Source organism: Homo sapiens, chromosome 9, assembly GCF_000001405.40.
Source record: "Homo sapiens chromosome 9, GRCh38.p14 Primary Assembly".
NCBI lineage: Eukaryota > Metazoa > Chordata > Mammalia > Primates > Hominidae > Homo > Homo sapiens.
The window spans coordinates 90157576-90172295 of NC_000009.12; the positions used below are offsets into that span (position 1 = coordinate 90157576).

General features: G+C 40.9%; 1 long non-coding RNA gene across 1 annotated transcript; it reads left to right on the top strand.

Annotated features, from left to right (window-relative positions):
- The first annotated feature begins 1234 nt into the window (after positions 1–1234).
- LOC105376142 (uncharacterized) lies at positions 1235–3653 on the top strand. Its single transcript, XR_930109.1, has 3 exons — positions 1235–1412; positions 2741–2927; positions 3620–3653. It is a non-coding gene; the product is annotated as an uncharacterized LOC105376142 (long non-coding RNA).
- The last annotated feature ends 11067 nt before the right edge of the window (positions 3654–14720 follow it).

Genomic DNA, 14720 nt, shown 5'->3' on the forward strand with positions numbered 1-14720 from the left:
TCTGCCTGTAAATAAACTTATCATCACCCCGTGGAGTAGGAACCTCAGCCCACATAAGATGGCAAGTCTCTTTTTAGTTTATAACTCTCAGAAGGCATAAGAATATGGAACTGATGAAGTTATTCCAATTAAAGGCATTGTTTCCACTGTGTTAACTTTAGGGGCATGCATGATCTCCATTGGGATACTGTCTGTGTAATTGTTACTTACATTATTTGAATGTATCAAAGCTACTGGATAATCTGTCAAATTAGAATTGTGACTTAAATGTAAACTAGGTAATTGATATTAGATTTGCGATATCGGTTTGAAAGCTATAAGAATTTGACTCAATTCTTTAGCATAACGTCTACTGGGATTTCTCATGTTGTCTTGAAATGATAGATAAGGCTGAGGCTAAAGGCAAAAACCACTCTGTATTTCACGAGAACAGCCAGTGCACGGAAGCAGCCGCTTTCCCAAGAGTTTATTCACAGATTATAGATCAGAGCTTCATGCCTGGCTTCTAGACGAAATAAAAGGGAGACTGGGAAGTGGGCTACAGTGAGGGGCATGCTGTGTTCACAGTTGGAGGCCATTCTTGTTCCTCTCCATGTCATGGAAGGGGAGAAAGGGAAGTGTTTTCTCCCTGTGGCCCTGTTGGAACATTGAGAAAATCACTTGTCAACATCAGAGTGTTCTGCAAGAAGCAGAGACTGGCACCTCCATCCTCAGCTGAGTTCTTGCTGACTACTGGGATCTGTAAGTCTCTGGTGCCAAGACATGAAGTAGCCCGGCGATGGAGTTCATGGGGAGCTTGACCTGCATCGCTTGGGGCTTGGTGGCATTCAACACTAAGGCTACTGACAATGCACTGTCTCAAGATTGCTGAAGGTCACAGTGTTCTGGAGGAGGCTGTATTAGGAGGATCTGAAGGATGATAAATATGTGCCAGGGAAGATGGGGGTATCACTCCTCCCTTCCCAGTTCTACAAAAGCACAGGACAGTGCAGAAGAGAAACTCAGAACTGAACACACAAATGGGGTATCCAACTAGAAGAAGGAGTTGGGGTGTGTATGCTCTGGTCAGGCCAAAGAGAGCCGTGACTGCCTCTCTGGAAGGCATCCTAGTGGGGAGGGCATCAGCACTGTGCTGTCACACTGCACATCAGTAGACGCTTGTGACATCACACAGACCCAGTAGGAAACAGAGAAGGACTAGGACCACCTCCATCCCCTAGCAGGCGAGCAGCCATGTGAGGCACTCACTGCCTCCTTCCAGAGCCCTCCTCCCTGCTCCTGGCCTGGAGGAGCAGGCGCCTAGAGGGAGAAGGACTGGCCACTTCAGAGCAACCCTACCCCAACCACACCAGTGAGGGGTTGGGGGAAGAATCTGAAATGAAATAGGAGGGCAGCGTGGTGCCTTAGAAATGGTCAGAACTGAGTCTTATATTATGCAATGACATCTCTAAAACCCCCAAATGACAGAAAAACCATGGATGCCATACCAAGATATCAGTAATGAACTATCTGGGTCTACCATTACAGGGTCAAATTACTTGTCCATATGGTTTTAATATTTTAAGAAAATTTATTTAAAAACTTTCATAGTCAAGGTTACTTGTTTAGGGGAACTTAATTTCTTAAATAGCTATATAAATTAATTAGTCAGAAAAATAAATCACTATTATTTTAAACAGTTATTAGTTTTATGAATAGAAAAACAAGATTTTAAAGTGGACCTGAAAGACTTATGAAAAGAACTTGTTTCCATGAGGAAAAGTATCTGTGTAGGAAATTAATTTTAAATTCCACCTCAGGGACTCCAAGAGTCTTTTCAACACATGAATTCCCTCTCTTCCTTCCCAGACTTTAAGGCAAGTCACTCACTTAATGAGCATACTGCCTATCTATCTATCTATCTATCTATCCATCTATCATCTATCTATCTATCCATCCATCTTCGGTTCTATCCTCAGAGATTCTGATTTTTTTAGTTCTGTAAGAACTAGAGCCAAATGCACACGTGCATGATTCTCTAAAAATCTGTAATCACTTTATTGCATAGGAAAAGAAAAAGTAGTAATGAAAAATGTGAATTGCAAAAATTCCGAGGGCTGGGGGGATTGCGGAGACAGTCAAAAGATAACAAATTTTTAGTAAGGTTTAAGAGATCTACTGTACATTATGGTGACTATAGTTAATAAAAATTATATTTTTTGAAAATGGTTGAGAGTAATTTTAAGTGTTCTCACCACAAAAGGAAAAGATAAATATATAAGCTACATATGTTAATGAGCTTGATTTAGCCATTCCACAAGGTATACATATATCAAGACATAATATTGTATACCATAAAGATATAAAACCTTCGTTTATTCAAAATAAATTTTAAAAAAGCATTCAGTATTTTATTCTCTGAGAGTTGCTGAATGATCTAATTGGATTGATTTCCAAGGCAGTGCAACAACGGATTCTTAGTTCTTCTAGAGAATTTGTTAGCAGGTGGTAGGCAAGGAAAAGTCAATGAGGCTGACTTTAAAACATGGGAGTCTACAAAGAGCTAAGGGAACAATGAGGACAGCTGCATTGCAGTGGCAAGCTCTAAATCTCATTCCCATTTTTGTAAGAAAAAATAGCTGCACACCTACAGACATTTAGATATTATTAATAAATGTGCACTCTGCACCCAAGGTTCTAGCATCATCTCATAGAGAGAGAGAATTGCCTGGCTCATTGTCTTTGCTTCTTCCTGGTTTAGTCTTTGCTGTTCTGATAAAGGAGGGATGAATGCAGTGCACAAGAGATATCGATCTCGGATTGGAACATAGAAAATGTCAATGAAGGATCCACAGCTTTCATCATTCATGGGAAACTGGCAGGCCAGACCAGCCCATCCTGTCTCAGAAAGTGAACACCCCTGTGACAGCAGGATGTTGGAGGTGGGGGTATGTTTCCACCGCACTGGCTAACTCAGAGCCCATCATTTAAAAAGACAAACTCAGGCAGTGTGAGATTAATCTGTTGACAATCATCCCTTATTGAAATATAACAGTCAATGCATATTCCATATATGTAATATGTACACATCACACATTACACATATACATAGATGCCCGTACAATCCATATTACAATAATACAATTGACACTTAGTCCATTTCTACTGATCACCTTCCAAATGCCGGCAATAATTAAAAGTCGACATACAAAGAAAAAGAACACATTGTTTCCTCCTCTAAGGAGCTCACAAGTTAGTAAGGGGAGACTAAGAAACTGAGTTATAAATAAAGAGTTAACGTAATCCCACTGAGAGGTGAAGCCACCTGGACTTCTGGGTCGAGTGGGGACTTGGAAAACTTTTCTGTCTTACAAGAGGATTGTAAAATGCACCAGTCAGCACTCTGTAGCTAGGATTGTAAAACGCACCAATCAGCACTCTGTAGCTAGCTAGAGGTTTGTAAAATGGACCAATCAGTGCTCTGTAGAATGGACCAATCAGCGCTCTGTAAAATGGACCAATCAGCAGGACATGGGCAGGGACAAATAAGGGAATAAAAGCTGGCCACCCCAGCCAGCAGTGACAACCCGCTCAAGTCCTCTTCCCTGCCGTGAAAGGTTTGTTCTTTTGCTGTTCACAGTAAATCTTGCTGCGGCTAACTCTTTGGTTCTGTGCCATCTTTAAGAGCTGTAACCTTCATTCTTGAAGTCAGCGAGACCGTGAACCCACCAGAAGGAACAAACTCCGGACACACCAGCACTTTGGATGGGTGAGGCGGCTGATTGCCTGAGCTCAGGAGTTGGACACCAGCCTGGGCAACACAGTGAAACCCCATCCCTACTAAAAATACAAAAAAGTAGCCAGGCGTGGCAGTACATGCCTGTAACCCCAGCTACTTGGGAGGCTGTGGCAGGAGAAGCGCCTGAACCTGGATGGCGGAGGTTGCAGTGAGCCGAGATGGCGCCATTGCACTCCAGCCTGGGCCACAGAGCAAGACTCTGGCTCAAAAAAAAAAAAAAAAAGATTTAAAATCAGAGTTATGATTGCAAAACAATAATACAAGTAATAGAGTTTCAGGACTCTTCTGACCCATTTGCTGCACGTTAACCCACTTATTTTTCATAACTACCTAAAAAGGTAGTGGACCCTCATTACCGTCTCTGTTTACAAATGAATATATTGAAGCACAGAGAAGAAGTTAACTTGGCCAAGATCCCGCAGCTAGTAAGTAGCAAAGACAGGCACTGGAACCCAGGTACGTTTAACCACCTCGGAGCTGCCGTTTTCCTGTGTGGGCAGCTCATAGTCGGCTGGCTGCACCTTACAGCCTGTCTCCAATCTGGCCAGTTGCTTACTTCTTCCTGTATCTGAGGTGGGCATGGGAGGAAGTCATGCATTTCCTCCAGCTGCCCAAACCATGGTGTGCACTCTGGCCCTCTCCTCAGTCTTGATGGGAGTCGTGAGACACCTGGAGCATCATCGCCTTGCAAATGTTTCCTCCACTTCATGGCTTCCTACACTGGCTGTAGAGGAGGGTGTCGGACATAAGGAAGTCTCCTGCACGACATCAGTAGTAGACACAGGCCCCTTCCTGAGTCCTCCACTGTATGCTAACACCTGACCGAAAGCCTGATCAAAAACATTAATGGGTCTTTGGCATCAGTGGAAGGGAAATACACCGCAAAGCACAACAAAAGCCAACCATGAGCTAGAGGATTATCCCCAGAGTTCATGGGTCCAACTCTTCCTCCACAGGAGCATCCTGTACACACAAACATACCACACACACTCACCACACAATACACATGCACAAACCACACACACATATACCACACACACCACACACAAACACACCATGCACGCATACACACTACATACAACATACCACACACAACACGCACACCATACAATGCACATGCACGGACCACACACACACACCACACACATACTACACACACACCACATACAATACACACACAACACACATGTATACCACACACCACACATGTACACGAACACACCACACACCACACACAATACACTATACACACAACACCCACACCACACACAAACAGCGCATACACCACAAACACACATACCACATACACCACACCATACATGCCACACATTCACACCATACACACAGAAATACCACAACACACAGCACATACAAACACAACACAAACATATACACCACACACACACCATATATGTGTACCACATGCACAACACACACAGACACATATCACACACCACACACCCACCCCACACAAACATGCACCACACACACAGACATACTGCACACAGACAAACCCTACATACAGATACATGCCACACACATATGTATATGCTACACACACCACACATACACATCACACACACAAGCACACCACATACCTACCCCCCCACCACACACACATGTTATATACTGTCTCCCCACTTCCCTGTCCCAGCAACCAAGAGAAAGACTTTGAACCCTGCCCTCAGCAGCCACGGCTCCACCCCACCAAATCCTTCACTCACATCCACCCACGTTATTTTCCATTTGATTGGTCCTTCTTCAGTGAGAGCAATGGCCAGAAAGTCAGCTGTCTTTACGAAAATAAACATAGGAAGGAAGGAAGGAAACAAGAAAGGGCAGGAGGAAGGGAGGAAGGAAGAAGGGGAAGAAGGGCGAGAGGAAGGAAGAGGAATGGAGGGGGAGAGGGGAGGGAACTCATTCTTAACCCAGTGGTTGCTTCCTCACCTTGTCTCCTTCCCCACCCTTTGAAATAGAATAAGCCAACCCAATCTAAGAATGCCTCTTCTTGCAGAATCGTAGTATTTTATTATTATATGTAATGTTAATGTGGATGGCATTGAAAGCCCAGGAGTGAGAGAGGTCCCCCAGGGAAAGCAAAAGAAGCTGGAAAGAACCTTAATATTTCATCGACCTTGATGGAATGGGCAGAGTGAGTAGTGAGTGCACTAGTGTTTGTTGAGCCTCTGCTCTGTGCCTACTAGATGCCAGGCAGGTCAAACAATTTAGAATTACTCTGTATGAAGGCAGCTTCTGTCCAATTGTATTAACATTTTAAAAAATGTTTGAATTATTAAATAATACCATTGACCTTTATTGGATGTAGGGTTCCATGAATTTTAGCACATTGCACAGTATCATGTACCCACAACCACAATCAGGATACAGGACAGGACCACCGCCAGAGTCCCTTGTACAACCCCTTTCTAATCATATCCTCCCCCGTCCCCTAAGCCTTGGCAACCACCGATCTTTTATCTGTCACGATAACTTTGTCTTTTTGAGAATGTCATGTAAAGGATTCAGTTTTCGGTAATCCTGAGTAGAACTGCTAATAATATTTGTGTACTAGTTCTATCAATTTACTGAGAGAGGAATGTGGGCATTTCTCACCATTGTGGATTTGACTATTTATCCTTTCTGTTCTTCCAGTTTTTGCTCCATGTGTTTTGAAGCTCTGTTGTCAGGTGTGTCCCATTTAGGATGGCTACAATAGTTTTTTTTGGTGAATTGACACTTTTATTATTATATACTATCCCATTTTGTCCTGGATAATTTCTTTTCTCTAAAGTCTACTTAGTCTGATATTAGTATAGCCACGCAAGATTGTTTTTAGAAAAAATATAAATTTTTTTATTTTTATTTTTTATTTATTTATTTTTGAGACAGAGTCTTGCTCTGTCACCCAGGCTGGAGTGCAGTGGTGCCATCTCTGCTCACTTCAAGCTCCGCCTCGCGGGTTCACGCCATTCTCCTGCCTCAGCCTCCCAAGTAGCTGGGACTACAGGCACCCACCACCACGCCTGGCTAATTTTTTTGTGTTTTTAGTAGAGACGGGGTTTCACCATGTTAGCCAGGATGGTCTCGATCTCCTGACCTCGTGATCTGCCCACCTTGGCCTCCCAAAGTGCTAGGATTAGAGGCGTGAGCCACCACACCCAGTCTATATATTTTTTATTTTATATTTTGAGACAGAATTTCAATCTTGTTGCCCAGGCTGGTGCAGTGGTGTGATATCAGCTCACTGCAATCTCCGCCTCCTGGGTTCAAGTGATTCTCCTGCCTCAGCCTCCCGAGTAGCTGGGATTACAAGTGCGCGCCATCACTCCCGGCTAATATTTTTTTGTATTTTTAGTAGAGAGGGGGTTTCATCATGTTGGCCAGGCTGGTCTCAAACTCCTGACCTCAGGTGATTCGCCCACCTTGGCCTCCCAAAGTGCTGAGATTACAGGCATGAGCCACCATGCCCGGCCCATATATATCCATTTATTTTTTTAAATAAACTTTTTATTTTAGAGCAATTTCAGATTTACAGAAAAATTGCTAAGATGTTAGACAATTCCCATATACAACCCCCCCCACCCACAAACACAGTTTTTCTTATCATTAATGTCATACATGAGTATGGTAGATTTGTTACACTTAATGAGTCCATATGATACATAATTATTAATATCTGTAACTTATTCAGATTTCCTTTGTTTTAACTTCTGTCTGTCTGTGTTGTTGTCACAGGGTCGAATCCAGGATACAGCATTGCATTCAGTTACCATGCCTCCCCAGGCTCCTTTTGGACAGCCTCTTGGACAGTTACTGTTCTTTTACTTTTTTAAAAAAAAATTACATTTTAAAATTAACATTTTATTAATCATTGTAGATTAAAATGTAGTTGGAAGAAGCACTACAGAGAAGTATTTTGTATACTTTGCCCATTTTCCTCCAATGTAACATTTTGCTGACTTTCTGACCATTGGTCTCACTGAAGGACCAATCAAATGCAAAATAACGTGGGTGGATGTGACGGAAGGATTTGGTGGGGTGCATTCATGGCTGCTGAGGGCAGGGTTCAAAGTCTGTCTCTTGATTGCTGGGACAGGGAAGTGGGGAGACAGTATATAATATATGAGTGTGTGTGAGTGCGTGTGTGTGTGTGTGGTGTGGTAGGTATGTGGTGTGCTTGACAATGATGCAAGCCACTCGTCTCCTTCAGATTTCCCCAGTTCACTTGCACGCATCTGTGTGACAGTGTGTATATGTGAGTGTGTAAGTTACATACAATTTTATTGTCTTTATAGGTTCATGCGGGCACAGAGTCAAGATACAAAACAGTGCCACAGCACGAGGATTTCCTATGTTGCCCTCTTATAATCCTACTCACTTCCCTCCTGCCAAATCCCTAACCTCTGACATTAGTACTTTCTTTACAGCAGGATCCTGGCAATACATTCTGGTGATTTTCCTTCATCTGAGAGTGTCTACATTCAGTTTTATTCCTGAAGAATATTTTTACTGCATATAGGTTCTGAATTGGCAGTTTTTTTCCTTCAACACATTTAACAAAAACTGTTCCTCTTCCCTCTGGCCTTCCTGGTTTTTGGTGTGAAATCCAAGGTCATACAAACAAAATAGTAATGCATTATTTTTCTCTGGCTGCATTTAGGACCATTTCCTATGTGTTTATTTTTCAGTAGTTTTTTATGATGTGTCTAGATGTGGAACTATTTGAGTTCATCTGGTTTGGCATTTGCTGGGCTTTTACCTGTAATTTTCAAACCTTTGGCTCAATTTGGGAAATTTTTAATCATTATCTCTTGAAATATTATTTTCTTCACTCCACTTTTTTTCTTGTGGGACTTCAATGACTCCATTGTTAGATTGTTATTGTCCCATGTGGGGAAAAGAGAGATCAGATTTTTACTGTGTTCATGTAGAAAAGGAAGACATAAGAAACTCCATTTTGATCTGTAGTAAGAAAAATTGTTCTGCTTTGAGATGCTGTTAATCTGTCACTTTAGCCCCAACCTTGTGCTCACAGAAACATGTGCTGTATTGAATCAAAGTTTAATGGATTTAGGGCTGTGCAGGATGTGCCTTGTTAGCAATATGTTTGCAGGCAGTATGCTTGGTAAAAGTCATCACCATTCTCCATACTCGATTAACCAGGGACACAATGCACTGCGGAAAGCAGCAGGGACCTGTGCCCAAGAAAGCCTGAGTATTGTCCAAGGTTTTCCCCCCACTGAGACAGCCTGAGATATGGCCTTATGAGAAAGGAAAGACTTTACCATCCCCCAGCCTGACACCTGTAAAGGGTCTGTGCTGAGGAGGAGTAGTGAAAGAGGGAGTCCTCTTTGCAGTTGAGGTAAGAGGAAGCTTTTGTCTCCTGCTTGTCCCTGGGAATGGAATGTCTCCGTGTAAAGCTGACCATTCCCATTCGTTCTATTCTGAGATGGGAGAAAACCGCCCTGTGGCTGGAGGCAAGATATGTTGGCAGCAATACTGCTCTGTTGCTCTTTGCTACACTGAGATGTTTGGGTAAAGAGAAACATAAATCTAGCCTACATGCACATCGGGCACAGTACCTTTCCTTAAACTTATTCATGATATAGATTCCTTTGCTCACATGTTTCCCTGCTGACCTTCTCCCCACCTGTTGCCCTGCTACACTCCCCTCGCTAAGACAGTAAAAATAATGATCAATAAACCCTGTTACACTCCCCTTGCTAAGATAGTAAAAATAATGATCAATAAATACTGAGGCTGGCGCCTCAGTATGGGTCCTCCGTATGCTGGGCGCCGGTCCCCTGGGCCACTGTTCTTTCTCTATACTTTGTCTCTGTGTCTCATTTCTTTTCTCAGTCTCTTGTCTCACCTGATGAGAAATACCCACAGGTGCGGAGGGGCTGGCCCACTTTAGTCCCATAAGTTTTTGAAGCTCTATTATTTTTTTCCATCTTTTTTCTTGGTGTTGTTAAGATTTGTAATTTTCTTGCTCTATCTTCAATTTCATCAACTTCTTTCTGACTTCCGTGTTATTTGACATCCAATATATTTTTAAAATTTGGTTATCATATGTTTCAGTTCTAAAATTTACATTTGGTTCTTCTTTATATCTTCTATTCCTTTGCTGGGCCATTTTCCCTTTCCATTTGTTTCAAGAATGTTCACCTTTTCTTATTGGAACATTTGTATTAATGATTTTAAAGTAACTGCCAGATAATTTCAACGTTTATGTTATCCTGACATGAATATCTGTTGATTGCTTTTTCTCATGCAAGTTGAGATTTTCTTGACTCTTTTTAGGCAATGTAAGTTTTTATTGTATCCTGGACATTTGGGGTATTATGTTATGAAACTCTGGATCTTGTTTATATCTTATCAGGATAGTTCATATATGTGTTCTGGTAGACATCACACGTGTTTGGGTTCAGGCTGCAGGTTCCTACTGGCCTCCTCTGGATTTTGATTCCTATACAAGTCCAGTTATCAGAGACTTTGCATTACATTCAGACATTTCCTGTGCATGCACCACCCAGGGACCAGCCGAGGACCTGTGTGTTGTTTTATCCTGTAGTTTAGTTCTCAAAGGCTTTGTTCTGCTAGTTAGGATCAGATCCACATTTGTGCAATTCCTGAGGATGCGGCCAAGAGTTCATAAACAAGTTTATGGAATCTTTTCTCATGCTACTTCCTCTCCACAATCTCCCTGGTAATTTCTGGTTTTGCAGCAGTCCTCTTGCACCCTAGCCAGAAACTGGAGTGTCAATTATACCACTCTGCTGTGCATTTCCTGGAGCTCGTTGTTTCCATGCTCTAGCTCCCACTTCTGAGCTTAAGGATCCCTTGAGTTTAGGCTGGGCAATATTAGAGAAAAAATGGGAAACTCTCCACCAGCTTTGTGGTACTTGGAATTTTGGTCTACTTTCTCAATCTGCCAGCTACCCTTTACTACTTATTTATTTTAGTTAAAAACACATTACATTCAATTTACCATCTTAACCATACATAATAAAGTGTATAGTTCAGCAGTATTAAGTATCTTTACATAAGTATGCAACAATCTCCAGAATTTTTCACCTGCAAATCTAAGGCTCTGTACCCATTCAACACCAACTCCCCATTCATCCCTCTCTCTATCCTCTGGAAATGACCATTCCACTTTCTGTCTCTAGAAATGTGACTATTTTAGATACTCCGTATAAGTAGAATCACATATTATTTGCCTTTATGTGATTGGTACATTTTCCTTAGTATAATGTCCTCCAGGTTCATTCATTTTGGAGAAAGTTAATAGGATTTTCTTCTTTTTAAATACCATTCCGTTGCATGCTTAATAACCACATTTGCAGTGCATTCATCCCTGGATGGACATTTGAGTTGCTTCCACCTCTTTGCTATTGTCAATATTGTATTCAGTGGGAGAGACAGACTGGAATGTGTTTGCCCCATTTTAATCAGGGGAAGAATAGTACTGAGATTTACTAGTTAAAATTTTTGTAAAAAAGAGTATAATTTCCCTTTATTAATGAAAACCATATAGCCCTTGGAATTGAAAATTTACACAGGCTTGTGAATAGATTATACAGATACTCAAGCCAGGCAAATATAACTTAGTTTAGTACCGTTTGTTTATATGTCTCCCTGGAAATATGTTCTTTTGACAATGATAAATATTAATAGACTGTTATAAAATGTATATATTTGGATGCTATATTGTGTTTAAATCCTTTCAATTTCAGGTAGGAATATGTTTTTGTGACCACATTAAGTGAATAAAGTTTCAGTTTGACTTAGTAATTAATAAAGTGCAACTTGTGATTGACAATCCTCTTCCCAGATAATAGACTTTTATGAGGTAAATCAACTCTAGAAAGAATGTGCTCTTCCCTAGTGTGACACTTAGAAACATTGTTAGTAATAAAACCCTCCACAATTCTTTCAGGTATAATTCACCAAGCCATGCAAATGTTGTAAAATCCAACTAGATTCGGGTAAACTTCCATTTTATTGAGTGGATTTATGATATTTAGGGATTGATTCATGGCATACGACTGATCACAATAATTGGTATCTCCTTCAGCAAGTTTATGAAGCTTTATCTTTTTTTCTTAGTAAAATGCATATATCCACTATAACTGTCATTAAAAAAAAAACTTGAAATTCATGAGGAAAAGCATCTTATTTTACCATGAAGGATTTATTTATTTTTCTAAGTGCTGCCCATTGCTCTTATGAATCGTGTACTGTGCTCTTCAACTTGCTTGTTTCTGTAAATTATTATACATCTACCAAGGTGTGTCTTCCAGAGAGTGAAGGTCATTGTTCTGGAGTAGGCCCTTGAAATAGCATCCACGTAAGTGAAAGTAAATAGCAGAGATAATGGAGTCAAAAGTTTAAATTAACCCTTTCTAGATTATCCAGGTCATTTGTTTTTCCTAGAGATAAAGTATAGAAACCAGGATGATTTATCCTACTATTCAAATGATTTAGTTTTAACTTTCATTGTAAGTTCTTGTTTTTATCAAAGTAATACATGAAAATGGCTTAAATTCTTAAACAGTGCCACAAATGTTGGAACAAGAAACAGTAATCTCTTGCCATACTACTGATTCTCTCTTTCTAGAGAAGGCAATTTTCAACCATTTTAGCTATTTACCTTTTTTTTTTTTTTACTTAGATAACATACCTTATTAGATATTCCTGGATTTTCCTCTCCCCATGGTATCTTTATTTCTGTTGGAAGCTTTTAAAACCATTAAAAATATTCAAATAGATGAATTTAAATATATTAATATTTTACTTAATGCTAGATAAGATGCTACTTATATAGAGAGTGAAATATGCATACTATAAAATTGGTCACTTTAACCATTTTCAAGTGGACAGCCTATTGTCATTAAGTACATTCACATGTTGTGCAGCCATCACCACCCTCCATCTCTAGGACATTTTCATCTTCTAAAACTGAAACCCTGTACCCATATTCCTTAATTTTTAAATTTTATTATGGCCTACTGATTTCTTACATGGAAGGTGAAAATCAGAAATAAACTCCTCTCACTGCTTAGGCAGGGACTAATACAAGGCAGTTACGGTGTTGGAGCAGAATGGAAGAAGGGGTCACTCGGTGCTCGCCCTGCCCCTGTGTGAACCTGAGAATGGGCCCCCTCAATTCTGGGCCCTGCTGGTCTCCCTGGCATCATCCTCTCTGGGTCCTCTATGCTGCACTCCACCTCCCTTCCCTCACAGATGCCATCCTTAACCCCATTCTGTCAGTATAACCACAGCATTTTTTTAAGTTAAATCAATATTTAGTGTTTACTTAGTTCCTGTAAAAATTGTCCTAATCTATGCAATCATATGTACATATTCTTTCACATTAACATTATATTTTTTGGGGTAATTGTATTATTTGATTATTCAGTTAATACTGGAGCTTGTTTACAAATATGGCCTCCAATGAACTACACCTTTCAGTTTTCTTGCCTTTGTGTAGTCTGCCTCTTGAATCAGAGCTAGATTTTGACCAAAGAGTGTAGTGGAGGTGACCTTCCGGGCCTTCTGAGGCTACATCACAAGGCACTTTGCAGGTGCCTTGAATACACTGGAGGAAGCTGCTGTGATGGATTATGACTACCTTGAGACTACCCTCCCACCCATAGCTGTAGTGGAAGGTAGCCTAAGTTACCATGTCCAGAGACTGTGTGCACAGAAAGAGATGCCTGGCAGCCATGCTGTGAGGAAGCCCAAGTCAGCATGTGGAGAGGTTGTGTGAACAGAAACGGAAGACTGGCCATTCTCTGGCTGTTCCAGGAAGCACCCAGGCACAGACATGTGAGTGAATCATTTGGTATCTTCAGCCATTGACCTTTCAGGTGACTCCAGCCTCAGCAATATCTGCCTATAATCACAGGAGAGGCCCTCAAGTGAGCCCTGCTGAGCCCTGTCAAGCCCTGTCAACCCACAGAAGCTTGAGAGGTAACAATAAGTTATGATTTTAAACCACTGAGCTTTGGGGTTTGTTACACAACTGTAGATAATAGAAACACTTAAGAGTCTATGAATCCCAATGTGTATATCGTTCCTAAACCCTTTGATTAAACTGAAAAGCTCCTTCAAATAAAGTCAAACATATTAATTAAGCTGTCAGATTACTTTTCCCCCTTGGAGACATTTCTTCAAAAGCCCCTGTTCCCTTCTCTGATGTCACAGGCCTACTGCACAGATTCAATCCTGGACATCCCAGTTTCATCCTGGGAATTCCCTTTTCCGCTCTCCTACATTGGATCCTGGTTCCCAAAACCCATGTCTTCATCTTTCTTTTTCCAAGGACACATTATCTTATTTTGCCTTGCTTAGGAGTAGAATTATTGTTAATTTGAAGATTTCTTTGGCTCCCTACAATATCTCTCTTCTGAGTTTTCTATGTTTTTTCTGTTTGTCTTCATTTCCATATTTTTTGTTAGAGGTTTTGTTAAAGGTTCTCCTCAAGTTCTGGTGACTCTTATTTGTTGGTTTTTATTTAAGTGTAAGGCAGTAAAACATCAATCCTTAACTCCATGGGCATGGGTGAGTTAGTCATTGCAGAACTTTTGTGCGTGGCAGTAATGAGACGGGTCAGATTTTTTAATCTGCAGGGATTTCTTTCCGTTGTTTCATCACTTTTTCTTGGAGTGTGTTTTTGTATGCAGGGGTAAAACTGATAATAAGTCTGGCTGCCAACATTTTAGAAGACACTCTGGTAGAGTAGAAGACTGTCTTTGGTCAGGGCAATGTATTCCTCAATCTTTTGGTGGGCAGAAGAAAGAATGGAGTCTAAGCTGACATGGTGACACTTCCTTATACTTTGAAATAGAAAGAAACATGGATCCTGAGTGAGGTAAGAGAGGTATGGACCTCAGCAAATACCTGGGGAAGGTCTTGTCTTAGTGCAATTAAAAAA